At 49.8% G+C, this 18,636-nt stretch overlaps 1 protein-coding gene and 1 pseudogene across 1 annotated transcript in view; one reads left to right on the top strand and one right to left on the bottom strand.

Annotated features, from left to right (window-relative positions):
* SFRP1 (secreted frizzled related protein 1) overlaps positions 1 to 18,636 on the bottom strand; it is a 47,512-nt gene that overhangs the window by 22,216 nt on the left and 6,660 nt on the right. The window lies entirely within an intron of this gene.
* RNU6-895P (RNA, U6 small nuclear 895, pseudogene) lies at positions 13,986 to 14,088 on the top strand (annotated as a pseudogene).

The following is an 18,636-nucleotide window of genomic DNA, read 5'->3' on the forward strand; positions in this document are numbered from 1 at the left end:
GTTCATTAGCCCAGACTCAGATGGAAGAGGAGAAGGAGAACGGCAGCTCCAGGTGCAGCACAGTGGCTATTATGGAAACCGGCCACACTGTGGGAAGAAAGTGCCAGGTAAACACCCTGAAGAGCTCTTTCACTAGAGGCTGGGACACACCAGGGCCCGGCCAACATTGCTGGAGGGCCCCTCCCACATTGCTGGAGGGCCCCCTCCCACATTGTCTGAGCCCCTCCCACATTGCTGGAGGGCCCCTCCCACAGCAAACCCCACTCATGCACTGGGCACAGTGCTCTGGTGGCTCTGTGATGGCTGAGAGCGTCAGCAGGGACCCTCAGTCTGGCAATGGAGCTGCCACTCAGGAGATGCTGGGCTGCAAATACCCACGGACCTCCAGCATGGCTGACAACAGCCAGGACAGCAGCTCAGGGCAGCAGCAAATGAAGTGACCTGCAGGGACCACACCTGCTCACTCCACAGAGCCCAGCCTGCAGGGCCCACACCTGCTCGCTCTACAGAGCCCAGGGAAGGTGGCGTAGGGGGAGGGGTCTCCCCTGCCTCCTCTGAAGAGCATTCTTAGGTGAGGCAGAGGCAAAGCCTCTGGGAGCTGCTGGTAAGCGCAGGCAAGTGCAGGCTGGCAGGCTAACATGGCCTGCCATCATGGGTACCCCCAGGCTGCAAGGCCAAGGCCGATGCTCCAGTCCAGGGAGAAAGTACAGAGTCAGTGACTCATTGAGTTCACTCTGCCCTTCTTCCCTCAGGTCAGACACTCACTCTTCCCTACGCCCCACAGATGCACCGCAAGAGTAAGTGGAGGCCAAGCCAGCCCGACACTCAGTCCCCTCCGCTTCCGACCTGGTGGCCTGTGCTGCCTGGTTTTCCACAATGGAGTTCCGGGTGAGATTTCCTCTAAAGAAAAATTGTGCTTCGTGGCACATGAGTGTTTAACAAACACGAACTTCACATATAGATGCACAGAATGTTAAAGCACAATGGGATTTAAGAGGCCATCTAACCAAAGTCTCATTTTACCGATCAGAAAACTGGGGCCCAGAGAGAAAATGAAGCCCCCAGCCCCTCAGCCGTCAGCATCTGAGCTGGCACCAGAACCAGGACTCCCGACTTCCTGGAGCCACTGCTGTCCTCCGCCCCTCGTTCCCCACGCACTATTCCCTTCACACACTCATTTCCGGAAGGGTGATGCCCCAGCCCCTCGGGTTCCAGCCCCATGGGCTCAATCAGCCTCCCTCATTTCTTCCACAAATGCAAGCAAGCCACTCCCTACTTCCCTGCCAGAATAAAATGCCAAAAACCAGAGAACTAAGCCCCACTCCAGGCGGAAGAAGTGCAGCCCCAGCTTACTATCAGATAAGTCGTTTCCTAAAAAGAAATGCGGCTGCAGTAAGGCAGGAAAGCCGGGAGCCAGGGACCCTGAGGCCAGCCCACCTGGCCTCACTTTTCCCAGGACCACAGTCAGATACAACAGCAGGGCTGTGGCCCAGCCCCCCAACCCTTCCAACTCAGGAAATGCTGAGCCCCCGTGAGTGCCAGGGAGTGCCCCTGCCATGCCTCCTCTGAAGAGCATTCTGGGGTGAGGCAGGGACCTAGGACAGACAGGCGTGCTCAGTTAGCTCGAGCGGGATGGAGGCTCCACCGGATGGGATGGCCAGGCTCAGGCTAGGGTCGGGGGTGCCAATGATCCCTCCCAGCCGCCTCAGAAGTGGCCACCCTTTGGTGTTCTCTGCGGAGTTTTGGGGTATGGGTCCCCAGGAACTCTCAGGCTGAGGGCTCCATGGGAGGAACAGGCAACGTTTCCACTCCAACCCAGGGTCCTCATTCTATGGAACTGGGCGGGGGGAGGGGGTGGGTGGGTAAAGCAGAAGCTCATAGTTGCCAGCCGGCCCAGACCCGATTCCTGGCATCACCCCACTTCCAAAGAGCGTCGGGAATGGGGGGACAGGGATGGGGACGATGAACCCAAGAGAGAGAAACACTCTGTGTTCCTCCCTGGGCTTGCCTATTCCCGACTTCGAGTAATCATCCAAAACAAGGAAACCTGCCAGGAGATACATTAAGTCTGTAAGCGAAGAAGCCTCCAGGCAAAGAGCTGTCAGTCACAGGGAAAACCCAACACAATACATGGATTCTACTCCTGTTCCGAGGCAGGGGCGGTTCCCGCTCAACCTTCCCACCGCCTCCCCCGCCGCACAAACACAGGGACACAACTGTGAAGGCAAAAAAGGATTTGTTTTTCAAAGTCACCAGGAAAATCAACACCAAGGGAGGCAGAGGGAGTGTGGGGCCAGTGGCTCCTCCTTGGATAAAGGAAGCGGGGCGGGGGGAGGGGGTTCAGCCCTGGGCCTGGACTTCATTCCATGTCCATGCTCCTTGCTGCCAACTGCAGGTCCGTTCCCAAAGAGTCACAGCCACTAGAATGCTCCAGGCCATCTGGCCTTCCTCTCCAAGACACGCAACATGGAACGACTCCAGGATTCTGTCTTTACACACCCTGGCGTCATCCCTTTCTTCACTGAAGAGGGGGTCCACACACGAGGTCGGGGGCAGCTAGGAACTCATTTCAAGGGTAGGATTCATACGCTGCTGGTGACCTAAAGAGATGGGGGCCCTAGCTGGCTCCTCCACCTTCTTCAGAAAGATCATCTTACATCTCCACCAGAAGGAAGGTTCACCCACCAACACAGCCAACTTCTGGAGAGAAGCCAGTGGCCAGAAAGCACACAGTGAGTGCCCCAAGCGTGGCATCTGAAGGGCTGAAAAAGAGTCCTGTGGGTCATGCCTCTGGCTTCCTGCCCAGTGCAGGCCTCCAGGTATCGCAGCTAAGAGGCTGCCAGGTCTCTGAATAACGTCTACAGTGGGACCCTACCACGGAACAAGGCAGCCTGCCCCTCTGCTGAACAAGGTTTCATTTCCTCAAGCCCAGTTTCTCCGGTGCCACACAGGAGTCTTCCCTTTGCTGGACTGCACAGCCTTGGCCCTCACATCTGTTTTCTTCCTGACACCTGCAGTCCTAAAAGGTGGACATCCTGAAACACACAGGCTTGTCCACTTGAAGGGGTTATATAGGGAAGAGAATGGCCAGGCCCCAGGAAAGTGGGAAATGCCTGGGAATGACAGGCGTGCCAGCTTGTTTTCTCTCACCTCACAGCTCCTCTTACACAAAATCTCTGCCATCGGCCACCATGGCCGAAGCGATGCTGAGCGCTCATTCTAAATGCTGGCATCGGCTCGGAGGAACGTCATGGAGAGTGGGTAAGAGCACCAGGTCATGTGCCACTGCAGGCTGGTGGCCCCGATGCATCCATCCCACCTGCACCAGGGCCTGCTGTGGGCTCTGTTCCCTCTTTAGGGGTGAGCCTGGCTCTACATCTCAAGCCTGGATTTTTCAAGCATCCTTTCTGATTTGATGCTTTCGATCTCAGGGTCTTCAGCTAATATTTGCTCTCCCTGTGAGTCCACAGAGAAGGTGAGGGAATAGATTCGTGTGTATTATAATAACCTCTGAAGTTCTTTTTAAGCTTCTCTGAGAAATACATTACCATTACTATCCTGGCTTCAATTTGGTATATCTATAAAATGCATTCACCTGTTACAGTTTAAGGAAAGTGCAGCATGTGTCACAAATGCTTTGAGGGAAGGGACCACAAGGGATGCTGACAGCCTCCACATAAACAGGAAGCCCTTCCAGGGATGCCACATGGAGCTGTAAGAGAGCAACTGGGACTGGCCGCCACAGGGTGAATGACAAGTTAGAGGAGAACTGCACTTTGTATGCTGGACATGGCAGCTCATGCCTATAGGCAGGAGGATAACTTGAGGCCAGGAGTTCAAGACCAGCCTGGGCCACATAGCGAGACCCCGTTTCTATAAAAAAAAAAAATTTAAATTTGGCCAGGCACAGTGGCTCACACCTGTAATCTCAGCACTTTGGGAGGCCAAGGCAGGCAGATCACCTGAGGTCAGGAGTTCAAGATCAGCCTGGACAACATGGTGAAACCCTGTCTCTACTAAAAATAAAAAAATTAGCCAGTTGTTGTGGGACGTGCCTGTAATCCCAGCTACTCAGGAGGCTGAGGCAGAGAATCACTTGAACCCAGGAGGCAGAGGTTGCAGTGAGCCAAAATCGTGCCATTGCACTCCAGCCTGGATGACAGAGACTCCATCTCCAAAAAAATAAAATGAAATAAAAATAAAAATAAAAATTAGCTAGGTGTGATGCTATGCACCTGCAGTCCCTGTACTTGGGAGACTGAGGCAGAAGGATCGCTTGAGCCCAGGAGTTCGAGGCTGCACTGAGCCATGATAGTGCCACCGCAGTCCAGCCTGGGCAAAGAGACCCTGTCCAAAAAAAAAAAAAAAAAAAAAAAAAAAAAAAAAAAAAACTGCAATGCACTTTGTAGTTTCCAGGACTCTTCCATACACTCTCATGTCTACACACCAGCTCTGTGGGGGATGCATGATGGCCATCATTTGGCAAATGAGAAAACTGTGGTTCCAAGCATTGCCCTTGGCCAAAGCCATGCGACTAGTAAATTGTGGGGCAGGAATGAAAACTCAGTTCTGAGTTTTAGAAAGTAACTGCTTCCAAACTGCTTCCCCATAGCAGGCTCTCTCCTACCCTATGCAGCGGAAGGGGCTCCTATGCCATCCATCTCTGGGTTTCTGAGAACAGAAGGGAAGAAGCAGCAGCTCAGAGACACATTCAGGAGAGGGGCTGCAAATGCGGGGATCAGCCCAAGAAGATGGCGCTGGGGCCAGGATGTCCAGCAGTGCCCAGCCCTGGTCAGAGACCACTGATCCACAGTTTATGCAATGCACTGCCCTTTGCAGTGGTCCTACGCCCTCCAATGCACCCCCAACTCAACCCTTCAATGAATGCGTCCAACTCAGTTTTCATCTGCTCCACCCTCTCAGGCACATAGCGACTTCTCTTCCCCATGCACCCAAGGTGAAGGCCAGTGTTCCCAGGGGCCTTGCCTGGGGAGCAGGAGGTGCCAACCAAGATATCACACCTAGAGAGCAAGTCACAGAGTTTTTGCCACAGACCAAAACCACCTAACTGCAGAGCTGGAGGACACTCACAGATCACCTATGGTGACCCCTTCAACTCGCTTAAGGAAACAAGCTCAGAGATTTGAACTGACTGGCCAAAGTCACAAACAGTTCAGTAGCAGCGCAGAAATTAGATGCCAGGACTCCAGAATCTGTGTTATTTTTTTCTTACTCCATATTTTATCTTCTAACGCAGAAGTCTTTGTTTTTGTTTCTTAACAGGTGGGTAAACTGAGCCACCGAGTGCTTCAGTGACTTGCAGGCGCTGACACAGTAGGTGGTAGAACCAGGCGCTGGGCTCACGCCTGTACAGCTCCTAAGGCTACACGTGTTCTTTCCAATGCACTCTTTAAATCCTAGAGATTACAGCACCGCCTTTATGTCAATCCCTGCTAACCGCTGGAATCCTCTAAGGAAGTGACTCCTGCCCAGAGAACCAGCAGTTCTAAATGGACTTGCTGCAAACACTGAAACCTAAACAAAAGAGGTCTATTTGGCACTCAAAGTAATAAACAAAATACCAAGACCATAGGAGTGTTCCCCAAACTTACAAAGATGGCACTCAGTTTGTATAATGGCATCAATGCAGAGAAATCCCTCCTGGGCTTCTCAGAAGCTCTTCTGGAGGATAGTGGATTAGCAGCATGCTCTAGACAGTGTCTCTCTCAAGTGCTGGGGGAGGAAGTGACCCTCGGGCCTCACCAGTGGAGACCAAGTCCCTGGGAAGCCCAGGCCAGCTGGAAAAGGCAGCTGCCCAGCACAGCCAGGCTCACCAGGCAGATGTGCTATGCACACACAGACAGACGCACAGGAGGGCACACGTACACAGCTCATCACACCACACACTACCCACATCTGTCTACACCCACACCTCACAGACTGACCCATACACAGGCAAACACAGACACAAACACACATGTGTGCACAGCAGGTGGTCCCTTGTGTCCCCCAACTACACATAGGCATCGACAGACACCCATATCTCGCAGATATAACCCCACGTGCACAGAGGCATAAACACACAAACCACACATGCACCTCCCCTTGTCCCTTATTGTCACTGCAGCCTCTCCTGCCTCCCTCTTTCAGGGAAGCTCCAGACACCTGGGCTAACCCAGCCCTGAAGGCCCTCATAAATGCCATTCCCAGTGCAATGCTTTGGGGCTGGCTCCGGAGGCACTGCTCCTGCTGCCCCTGGTCAATAACAAAGTCTGGAGAGAAAAGTCAGGACCATTTATGATGGGTCCTAATGACAACTGCTCTTGGTAATGGCCAGCTCTGCGGTGACCTAAGTATGAGCTGATTACAGGCTCTGGCTCCCGCTCTGCACACGCAGAACACAGGTGTCCCGGGGGCACTGACCGCAGCAGATGGCCCCTTCCCTGACGGCCAGGACAGCTGTGCTGACCTCATCAGCCACCTCCCGAGGGCTCCTTCAAGTGGGTGGCCCTGAGCAGGCCCAGACCCAACAGGCACCACCCTGAGCCCTCTCATACGGGACGCGGCTCCAGGGCTCCTCTCTCCCTCCCACCCTCACTCAGAGACTCCCTGTCCAAAATGTCTCACCACTGATGTCTGCAGTTCTGCCATTAGGACTTCATTATTTGATTAATGAGGTCTTTGTCTTCTTCTCCTCCTCTTCCTCGTCTTTTTTTTTTTTTTTTTTTTTTTTTTTTTTTTTTTTTTGAGATGGAGTCTTGTTCTGTCACCCAGGCTAGAATGCAGTGGCGCGATCTCGGCTCACTGCAAGCTCCACCTCCCAGGTTCACACCTTTCTCCTGCCTCAGCCTCCTGAGTAGCTGGGACTACAGGCGCCCGCCACCAGGCCCCGCTATTTTTTTTTGTATTTTTAGTGGAGACGGGGTTTCCCCATGTTAGCCAGGACGGTCTCGATCTCCGGACCTCATGATCTGCCCACCTCAGCCTCCCAAAGTGCTGGGATTACAGGCATGAGTCACCACGCCCGGCCTTTTTTGAGGACTTTTTTAAAGATATAAGACAGTCATGTTTTAAAATAAGTTCCCAGTGTCTCTGTGTTACCAACAAGGCCAAATCTCCATTCTGTAAGAAAGCAGTCAGGTTGCCGCACAAGCTGGCTTTTGCCTGTTTTGTCATCATTTCTAGATACTCACCACCACACCCTGATAAGCTAGCTAACCACAAAGAGATTCGCCACTCCCCAGTGCAGCGTCGCAGCTCCTGGTCTGATCTCCACTGGGATTATCTTCCTAGGCCCACCTTTGCTGCCTGACAAATGCCTACCAGCTCCATGGAGGACAGCACAGGGTCTCTCATCTCTGCAGCTCCCCTTGACCATTTCCTTGGAGACCAGCTCCCTTCTGTATGCTCCCGTGGCTCCCAGCTCTTCTCTATCACGGGCATCTCTGCATCCCCTGACCTCCTCTAGATGGTAAGGCCTGGTAGAGCAGAACCACTTCCCAATCACACCCCATGACCATTTTCTGGACACTCACCAGCGCGGAGCCCAGCACACACACCACGCAGTCAGCCTTGACTGGGTCTCTGACACTAACATGAAATTAGGTTAATCCAGGTGTTTCCTTCCCGAGGCAGGAAACACCATGAGGAGCAGCACAAAGGCACTGTGATCCAGGGCTGGAGCACGGACAGAGGCACCTTGGAGAAGCCTGTGACAAACCCAAAGCTTCTGCCTCAAACAGGCCCCAGGAGTGGGGACAGCGAGGTACCCTAGTGTGGCCAGGGGCACCCCAATACAGACACCCTCACCCTCTCCTCCAAAACTCACCAGCTCCTACGTGGCCAGCCCGAGGCTCACTGCAGGGCTTCCCACTCATAACGCAACTTCAAAAGCAACACACCCCAGGCAGAATTACACCACTAAAAACTTCCACTCCTGGACTCAGGTGTGCAGGTAAGAGCTATCTATAGCCAACAGAGTTTTCACCTTCCTTACCCAGGGCTTAACTCGGGTTCAGAGCACTTGGAGGGAGGAGACAGCTGCAGAATTCTTTGCAGCGAAGATCCCATAGCAGCCCTTTTTGGCTTTGTGTCCCCACCCAAATCTCTCTTTGAACTGTAATCCCCAGGTGTTGAGGGAGAGACCTGGTGGGAGGTGACTGGACCATAGAGGCAGTTTCCCCCATGCTGTTCTCACGAGAGTGAGTTCTCACAAGAGCTGATGGTTTTATAAGGGGATCTTCCCCCTTCACTTCCTTCACACACTCTCACCTGCCACCATATAAGATGTGCCTGCTTCCCTTTATGCCATGACTGTAAGTTTCCTGAGATCTCCCCAGCCATGTGGACCTGTGAGTCAATTAAACCTCTTTTCTTTATAAAGTATTCAGTCTTGTGTAGTGTCTTTATAGCAGTGTGAGAACAAACTAATACAATTATGGAGACTTCCCTCTTCCCAGGCCCTGGGAAGAAATGATATCAACACTTCTGTCTACACAGCTAAAATCTCTTTGGATGTTGATTCTAGTCAACAGATGTGGTACAGACTAAGCAGGGCTCAGTAGAAGCCCAACGATTGTTGAATCATCTCTGCAAGAGTGCACGTCTTCTGCAGGTGGTTAGATTTTCAAAAGAAAACACATGCACAAACACACATCATGAGCCTGTTTTTAAATGAATGTGTGTTAAGAGTAAAGACCCTGTAACCAGAGAGGCTGGGTGCCGGCTGGCATTTGGCACTGTGCAGACATCTCAGCTCTTAGTGCCTCTACATCTCAGAACAAAGGTCGAGACTCCTTCTAGCCAGCCCTGCATCCTGTGAGTGGAAGCAGCGGCTGCGGGTTACGTGGAGGTGAGAGGCTGCTCTCAAGACTCAAGTCTTGCCTGTGCACTTCTCAGCACCTTCCTTGCCCAGGGCTGACAACAAGTACTTACCTGACTGAACTCCTTCCCCTCACAGCTATGCACTCCCTGGGTGTCATATCTGACTCAGGCCCATGGCCACAACCACATGAGGGACCCCTGAAACACATGGGCCATTCATTCCAACTGCTGCACCACAAGAACAGGTACAGCCTTGCTGGGACCTCGTCACCCTTTGAGCTGGGTACACAGACAGCTGCGAATTGGAAGGAGCAGCTCCCCCTCCCATGCCTTGATGCAGCCTTTGAGTCCCCACGCTGTGGGCCAGGGCTAAGCAGAACATAGAATGCGAAGCGAGTTGTTATAACTGACAAATGACAAACCAACATTCTCCTCTGTATTTATTTACCAGCTTAGGTTTCGTCAATTGAAGAATTACTACTTGTTTTGAGTCTTTACTCCCTTTCCCTGTCCTCATCTCCTGACACCAGGAATGCCCTCCTCTACTTTCTCCATTAATCTTCAGCCTGACAGTTAGATCCTCATCTTCTCTAGGAAAGTTCCCTGAATTTCTCCAGGCCCCACCGAAGACCCCTCCCTCCTTCAGTCCTGAGTGCTAGAACTACGCACAAAGGCATCTGAAGTTACCAAAGAGCAGAGACAAAAAAGCATGGCAAAGGCCTGTCTCGCCCACCAGATTCTTGGGGGTTTTGTGGGGGGTTTTGTTTTTGTTTTTGTTTCTGTTTTGAGACAAGGTCTTGCCCTGTCTCAGACCCAGGCTGGAGTGCAGTGGCCTGAACACAGCTCACTGCAGCCTCGACCTCGCGGGCTCAGACGCACATCCCACCAAGTAGCTGGGACCACAATGTGCCACCATATCTGGCTACTTTTTTTTTTTTTTTTTAGAGACAGGGTCTGGAACTCCTGGGCTCAAGCAATCTTCCTGCCTCAGCCTCCCGAAGCACTGGGATTACAGGCATGAGCCACCATACTTGGCCACCAGATTCTTAAATGTGTCGAGGGCAGGAACAGGGTCCTCCATATGGGGCTGAGACCAAAGGAAAAGTGGAAGGCGCCCAGACTGTCTATGAGCCTGAGAGGTGAGCACAGCGGGCTGGCACAGCCGCCCTATGGAGTACCACAGGAGGGAATGCGCTCTCTAGGCACCAGCTGCTCTCAGGGTTTAAAGTGCTTATCCAGGCTCGTTTCTAGCTCTGGTGCCACCGACATATAGTTGGGGATTTCCTTCAGCCATAAGCCATTCCCCAAAGCTGAATGCATCCATTGCGGAAGACACCGACGTGGAAAATTTTCAAAGAGCTCACAAAGAGAAGAGAACACATCTGAGGTAGTCCCAAAAGGAAATGTCCTTTGGAGAAAGCTGATGGAAGGGCTAGAGAAAACAAGAGAGAGAAAATCCCCCTCGTAATCCTGCCTGAATGAGAAAGAACATCATTTAGGGAAGCTGGTTTCTCGTTTTCTCCCCACTGCCAAAGTACTATTTTGGCATCTCTTTACAACTCACAGACATCCTTTCAGAATTTGTAAATGATGTCCCTTAATTCCTGCCCTACAGAAAATACCTCTGTTATGCCTCCAAATATCTGCCAAGCCAGTAAGCATCTATTACCTGCACATCAATCCCTAAGTGCTGTCAAATAGCCTCAGCCCTCATGCTTACAGCCCCCCAAACCTAACAGACCAACACCTTTTACATTCAAGACTCAAATATGTATATGGAAGCTCTGCACATGCACCGAGATCCCAACCCCAAAAGCCCACACAGACACAAATGTCACCTTCTCTCAGGAGTCCCCAGTTCCTGCTCCTGCCGCTTTGAGGAGTTGGGATGAGAAGGACCCAGCGTGCAGCATGAGTTATGGGAGCTACCCACAATCATCTTTAAACTCAGCCCTGCAGGAAGAACCCCAAGGCTAGTGTGATATGGAAACTCCAGCATCTGGAGCTGGCTGGGACTGTAAGAACAAGCAGTTTATAATCCAGCAGTCTCCCTGAAAAAACCACTATCAACAATCACTACAGGCCAGTGCAGTGGCTCACGCCTGGAATCTCAGCACTTTGGGAGGCCAAGGAGGGCAGATCACGAGGTCAGGAGTTCAAGACCAGCCTGGCCAACATGGTGAAACCCCATCTCTACTAAAAATACAAAAATTAGCCAGGCATGGTGGTGCGTGCCTGTAATCCCAGCTACTCAGGAGGCTGAGGCAGGAGAATTGCTTGAACCCAGGAGGCAGAGGTTGCAGTGAGCCAAGATCACGCAACTGCATTCCAGTCTGCGCAACAGAGGGAGACTCCGTCTCAAAAAAAAAGAAAAAAAAATTAGCCGAGCATGGTGGTGGGCGCCTGTAATCCCAGGTACTCGGGAGGCCGAGGCAGAAAAATTCCTTGAACCCAGTAGGCAGAGGTTGCAATGAGCTAAGATCACACCACTGCACACCAGCCTCAGCGACAAGAGCAAGAGGCTGTCTCAAAAAAAAAAAAAAATTCACTACAGTACCTTCCCTGGAAAGACCTGGAAGGCTGTATTTCATCTCGTCCCCATCATCACCATTCATGTGTCCATCCACCCTCTCACTTAAATATGCGCTGCAGCACTCACAGAACTCAACTTACCTAATTCCCAAATGGGTCTCTCACAGCCACCCACTAGCAAAGCCAGAGACACTGGGGGAGTATCTGCAGCATTTTTTTTTTTTTGCCACTGTCATTAACACTCAGCAGAATCCAGAAGATGACTTCACCCCCTGCCACCATGCCCTGGCCCCAGCTCCCAGATCAGTCAATACGTCCAGCCCCCTGCCAATGTGGATCAACAAATGTCTATTTTCAAAGAAACCTAAGCTGGCTGCTTCTGGTTCACTTTCCTCATAACTCATCACCAACTATTTGTGGGATGCGGAGGGCAACCATCCTGAGCCTGCCCCCTTTGAATTAGGAAGTCCCCAGGTGCCAGCAGTAAGAGGCACTCAAACCCAGGGAGGCTCACGCTACAGGGGTGGCTCTTGCACACACTGACTATGGGGCAAGTCCCTCTTCTTGGTCACCCAGCCAGACAGACTGCAGTCCAGGTCCTCTGGGCACAGTGGGAGTGACAGCACTAGTGGCAGGCCAGACCCCATACACAGCAAAGCTGTAGTTCAAATATGTATTATATGTGTCTGGCTTTCACACGGAGTTTGCAACCTGCCAGTTAGTAGTGTTTACCTTGGTAAAAATTCACGGGAAATCTTAGTCTGAACAGGCCCAGAGTTTATTTTACTGCCAGATAAACAACTTTCTTTGATAAATCATCCGTGTGACAGTGTTCCTGAAAGACTAAACAAAGATTTCAAGCACAATCTATAGGCCTTTGAGAAGCCTTCCAAAGCGAAGGCATGTTTAATTGGCTGCCCTAAGGTCGGGGCAGGGCAATGATCTGACATTTCTTTGGCCATTTGTTCTTCTGGAAAAAAAAAAAAAAACAGATTGGGGCTTCCAGCACATTTCTGCAAAACTGGATGAAACTTACCAATATTTAAAAGCTCATTCGCATTATAATGCATAGCCTATTTTTTGGTTAAAGGAAGTGAATATCACAAGGCAGGTGTTGGGGTTGGGGTAGGGGAAGGGAAAAGTGCCCCAGAGATATCGCTGGAGAAAAATGGAGAACAAAGTGAAGTAAAACAGCACAAAGGGGCTCTGAAGTCCCTCAAACATAGGCCCTGCTAAATTAAAAGGAGAACGCGTTAGGTAGAGTGTTTCTAAAAAACACACAAATGAAAACTTCAGTGGTCCTATCCTGGAACACCAGGCAGTCACAGCTCCCGCATTCAGCCCTCATCACTGTCTGGAGGCTTCCAGGTTTACGTTGACATAAGGATGTCATCTCACTAAAACCCAGATCTCCTAACTTCTAGTTAGGGTTTGGCTTTCCGAGGGGGAGTTGTTTGTTATTGTTATTGTGAATTACAGCACCTTGAAGCTGCATAAAGCAGTTCTCTTTGTGGGTTTTGTTTTGTTTTTGAGACAGAGTTTCGCTCTATCACCCAGGCTGGAGTGCAGCAGCGCAATCTCAGCTCACTGCAACCTTGGCCTCTAGGTTCAAGTGATTCTCCTGCCTCGGCCTCTGAAGTAGCTGGGATTACAAGCGCCTGCCACCATGCCCAGCTAATTTTTGTATTTTTAGTAGAGATGGGGTTTCGCCATTTTGGCCAGGCTGGTCTTGAACTTCTGACCTCAGGTGATCCACCCACCTCAGCCTCCCAAAGTGCTGGGATTACAGGTGTGAGTCACCGTGCCCAGCAGCCTAAAGCTTTTAAAGGTCTTCCAAATGGGTTTTTTAAAAGACTTCTTCAGTTTAATCCTCCATTAACCAGAGAATTAACTAGCATATTCCATTCTTCTTCCTAAAAAACTTTCCGCCCAACAAGCTGATTTCATTAGTGCTGGAATTTTCCTTCCTAGGCTAAATTTCATCCTAAAACATTTTTTTCCAATAAGAAGACATAATAATTATTACAGATTGAACAGCCACCATATTCCAGGAACTGTCCACACTTGATTAAATCCAATTCTCCCAACACAGTCACGTAGGAATTCTCATCCATAGTTTGCTGATGAGGAGCCAGGCTCAGGGAAGTTAAGAGACTTTCTGGTGGTCGCTTAGCTTATAGGGTAGGGATTTAATCCAAGTCTGTCTCGCCCAGAGCCTGTGTTCTTTCCATTCTGCTACACTGCCGGCTTTCCCACCAAGAAGGGAGCCAATGATTGCTGAGCTCCTTCCGTGTGCTGGGCACAGACATCAGTCCATTTAAATTCTACAAACCCTAAGAGTAAAGGAGCACCCGATGCCCCTTCCCAGGAAGCTCCTCAACTACCTTCCTGCTTGATGGGTGTGAGAGGATGGGAAGGAGCAAGGGTGTGCAATCTGGCCTGGATGCCAGGGAAGTGCTGGTGGGCAGTAACAGGGATCCAGGTAGAGTGCTCTTGGGTCACTGAATGCCTAACTCCTTTATTTTTTTGTCTTATTTCCTTCAGTCAGTAACGTGAGGGCACGGACTGGCTGATCTTTGAGGTCCTATCCAACTCAACACAGCTTTACAATGGCAAAGTGGTACAGGGGCTTGCTTCAGTAGCACACATGGTAAAACTGGAACAATACAGAGAAGATTCACATGGCCACCATGCAAGGATAACACGTGAGTTCGTGAAGTGTTCCGTATTTTTAAAGAATAAGATACAGTCTTCAGTAGCACAGCTAGGCAATTATAGTTAACAATAATTTATTGTATATTTCAAATTAACTAGAAGACTAGATTTGGAACATTTCCAACACAAAGATCAGTGTTTCAGGTGGTAGATATCCCAATTACACAATTTTTTTTTTTGAGACAGTCTTGCTCTGTTGCCCAGGCTGGAGTACAGTGGTGTGATCATGGCTCACTATAGCCTCAAATTCCTGGGTTCAAGCAATCCTCCCACCACAGCCTCCCAAGTAGCTGGGACTACAGGTGCATGACACCATGCCCAGTTAATATTTAATTTTTAATGGGGATGGGGTTTCACTATGTTGCCTGGGGTCTTGAGGCTGGTCTCAAACTCCTGACCTCAAGCAATCCTCCTGCCTCACCCTCCCAAAGCATTGAGATTACAGATGTGAGACAGCATGCCCAGCCCCAATTACCCAGTTTGATCATTACACATTGGATGCTTTTATCAAAATATCAAACATACCCCATAAATATGTGCAACTATTTTGTATCCATTAAAAAAATTTTAAGTGGTACAGGTGAGCAACGCAGCACCCAAAGAAATGGGCAGTTCACATGAGCTGTGAACAGCCCCCTCATCCCACTCATCCCTTTTCCCTCTTTCTCTACCCACCTCCAGAAAAACCTCAGAAAATAAAGGTGAACTTGAGGGCAAATCCTTCTCTCCACTCCCCTTCTTATGAGAGTCTATAGTCATATCCAAAGATGAGGACATGATGCATAACACATAAGCCAGATGCAAAAGGACAAACACTGGCTCGGCCTCCATCTCTTCACCGCCTACCCCCCCAACCCCCCACCTCCCATGCACAAGAAGGCTGCTCAGAAAGAGACACAGGCTCTCAGCTGGGACTCACACCTCTAGTGCACTAAGCAATGGGCCAATCTCAGGTTTTTACGCACATAAAATATCCTAACAATTAGCTCCATTTTGTACAGATCTGTGGATAGAATATGTATCTTCAGCAACAATAAAACCCAGTTGTTTTCCACCTATCAATTCCATCCCCAGAGTAACAATTCCTTCCATGTCTAATTTTACTTTGACTGAATGAGATTCTGGATGTTGGGGCTTCTTTTAAACATGTATACATGTATATGCTCAGTCACCCAAAACAGGGCATGTAGTTTTCCTTGAACTTAATACACAAGTTGCCGACATCCACCTTGAAAAGAGCCTTCTCCTTTATAAAAAAAAAAAAAAAAAAAAAAAAAAAGAAGTCCATCATGCCTGCAATCCCAGCATTTTGGGAGGCCAAGGTAGGGGGATCGCTTGAGCCCGGGGGGCGGAGATTGCAGTGAACTGAGATCATGCCCCTGTGCTCCAGCCCAGGTAGAGCGAGACTTAGTCTCAAAAAAAAAAAAAAAAAAAAAATTCCAACATCCACGTCCCACATCCCCTGTCATTCATACAGTCAGCTGACAAACTTTCATTTTATGCCTACCATGTATAAGACACTGTGCCAGGGACTATTTGAGTGCAAATAGGCCTTACTTTGTTCATTCCAAGACACAGATTTTCTGCACATTTCTGCAAGAAGTATGGTTTTTTTATTGTTTTTTGTTTTGTCAGTAGTACAAACTGAACAGTGTGTCTCACAATTAACAGGCATCTCCCACCAGGTAAAACACGGCATTAGATACAGAGCCTGCTCTCAGGCAGCCTGCAGGTGCCGCAGTGACTGTGCTAGCAGCCATCTTGCTTCATCTTTGGGAGGAAACCCAAGGTTTAGTTTGGAAAGGCTGAGCCTACTTTCTGCAAGAACTCAAACTGCCCGTCAGAGTAAAACACTGTCCCCCAAACAGCAGCACAGCCAAGACATCCTGAAAGAAGTTGGAGGCAGAGTGAGAACAGATTAGTGGAGGTACGGAGGTGCGGGAAACTGAAAATATTTCTACTAGGAAATACTCCCTAATGCTAACTGTGAAAGCTGATGTTCTTTTCCTTCCTATTTGACTAACCTTAGTGTTGCATAGTACAGCTTTTCTCTTTATGAGGAAATATATAAATGGAAAAAAGAATCCTTCCAGAAGGCAAGGAAAGTTTCTAGGGGCAAAGAAATCCTTTTCCATAGGGAGAAAATACTGGGCTGAAGAAATTGCCACCTGAACTCTCAAGCTCAAAACACTGAAGAAGGTAGTACAAGTGGAAGCTCTGAACTCTCCTAGCAGAAGTGTATCACCATGCAAATTTCCCCCAGGAAAGCTTACGGGTGTTTACAGATACTGCAGAAGAAGCTAGAGAAAGTGGCCAGAGGCAGGAATTAACCTCACCACAATTATAAATAAATCAGATCCTCATATCCCTGGGATAAACCAACCCAAAGGGAAGACGGCTGTGGGTACTGAGCTGTTAACAGCAGGATGATTAGTGTGGCGGCTCGCAAATACTATATTGGGCTATTTAAGAGGCGAGAGTGGCACCCTGTTGTCACAGAGCAGGAAAAGCAGAGAGAGAACAAAAAGCAGAGCCCTGCAAGCTGATGGAAGCCAGCAGGCAGGCTGGTCGCCATGTTCGATGCGGTGACTTTGCCCCATCTAAGTCTTGGCTCCCACATCTGGTGCTTGATCCAGGCTGATCAGCTGCATTCCTGAGCATCAGCACACAAGCTTTTCTGCTCATGTTTTTTTCCTGTTGGGGAAAAAATGTGCCCTGAACTGAGCAGGTACAGTGCAGGGCTGGAGACATGAGTGACTAAGCAGATCTGCCAAGGGGTTAAAGCACACTGCATGCCGAGAAGGTCAGGGGTCAGACATGCCCAGCTCCACAGAGGCTCCCGGAGACCACAGATGCAGTGGCAGGGGGACGAGGGTGCTGCTTACCCAGGGAAATGCACCCCTTGTTCCCGGAGCTCACAGAGAGCCTTCCAGCAACCTGATGTCTTCCCACTGGGGATGTCAGGGCCACTTAATGCAAAGTTTGATCCCTGGAGGAGGGAGTCAAGCATTCTCTTTCTTCTCTGCTGTGTGTCAGCTTGCATTGTTCAATTTCTTTGTTTCCTAACTGAATCCCATCAGTGTGGCTGACTGCCTCACTTACTTGAAGTGAGCTGAGCTAGGAAACACGTTTCTCGACAAGGCTGCATTCTCTAAGGTGCTAAGAAGGGCAGAGCTAAGCTCAGCCCCTACAGAGAGAGAGAAAAAAAAATCCCTATATATTGTTTTATGAGAACATTACAGACAAAAAAACAAAAAGGTTTCTCCTGCAACCAGCTCAAAGAAGCCTGCCATACACCATACGCACACTAAGGAGGTCAGCGCCTCCGTGGCAGAGCCCAGCGGCTGTGCATCAACTCTTAAGTGAGGAGGGCAGGTGGCAGAGTGTAAAAGGACTCCAGTTGAGAAAGTCAAATTCCTTCTTTATCAAATAAGAGGACTGGATAAGATGACCTCTGAGGTCCAGGAGGAACCCAAAAGTTCTGTGAACCCAAGAGGAAAATATTGTCAGGGCTAAAGGAACCCAATCCCAAACAGCTAATCACTCAGATTCCACAAACCGTGACTGGTTATCGACATGAGATCCTCTGTCCTCTTCTGTGTACAGAACGCTGGCTGATTTGGCAGGTGCCTGCTGCCGTGGGAAGAAGATGTCCATCCCAGATGAGTTACCTGAGTGCCCTCTAGACCCCTGCCCTACACCTTAAGGTCAACCTTGCCAGATTCAAATTCTTTCCCAGGCTTGCCTCTTCAGCCTATGTGGCAAAGGGTCTGAATCCTCCAACTTCTGTCTTTTTTAAAAAACAATACTCATGTATTACATTTATTTAGAGGAAGAGTTCCACCCTCAATCTGTATCTATAGAACTCAGAAAGCACTAGGTATACAGGGAATCCTCACTGATGAATTTGAGTTAATGCAGAAACAGACAAGTAACTCACACTGCTGCATCACAGAGAACACATCAATCTTCCCCATGCATGGAAACAGGATACGCGCTCTCCAGTTTAGCTCTGGTGGCCATCTACATCCAGCTTCCATCTTCATCCACAATTGCAATACCCTGAGAATGACCCTGTCGTGAGGCATGATTCCCTCCGACTTGCATGTGTCCTCCCACATGTGTGCAGCTTACTTTGACAGGGCAGGAACAAGACCCTTCCGTGTACTTTACCATGTTCGATTAATGAAAACATGGACTGGGATGCCTCCGAATGGACTCACATCACCTATCTTTACGCTTTTCCAGATAAGAATTCTGTAAGAAATCCGATCTCAGGGACACAAGGCAGGAATTATGAGAAACACGTTGTTCAGCATCACACTGAGTCTTCTGAAAGTGTGGCTTGGCCGGAGCCACTTCTCTGCATCCATGTCAGATAGAGGCGAGAGAGAGGGAGCTGGCCCTCCAAAGGGGTGCCGTTTACATTTACTTTTCTCAGAGGAGAGACTCTCAGGGTGTGGTGAATTCAGGTATTCTGCAGGTCAGACTATAACAGACCATCCCTGGAAGGCCCCAAGGCCCCTGGCATCTCCCCCACCTCCCCCTGGCCCCCACCAGCTCCTC

This window comes from Homo sapiens, chromosome 8 (genome assembly GCF_000001405.40).
Source record: "Homo sapiens chromosome 8, GRCh38.p14 Primary Assembly".
Taxonomy (NCBI): Eukaryota; Metazoa; Chordata; class Mammalia; order Primates; family Hominidae; genus Homo; species Homo sapiens.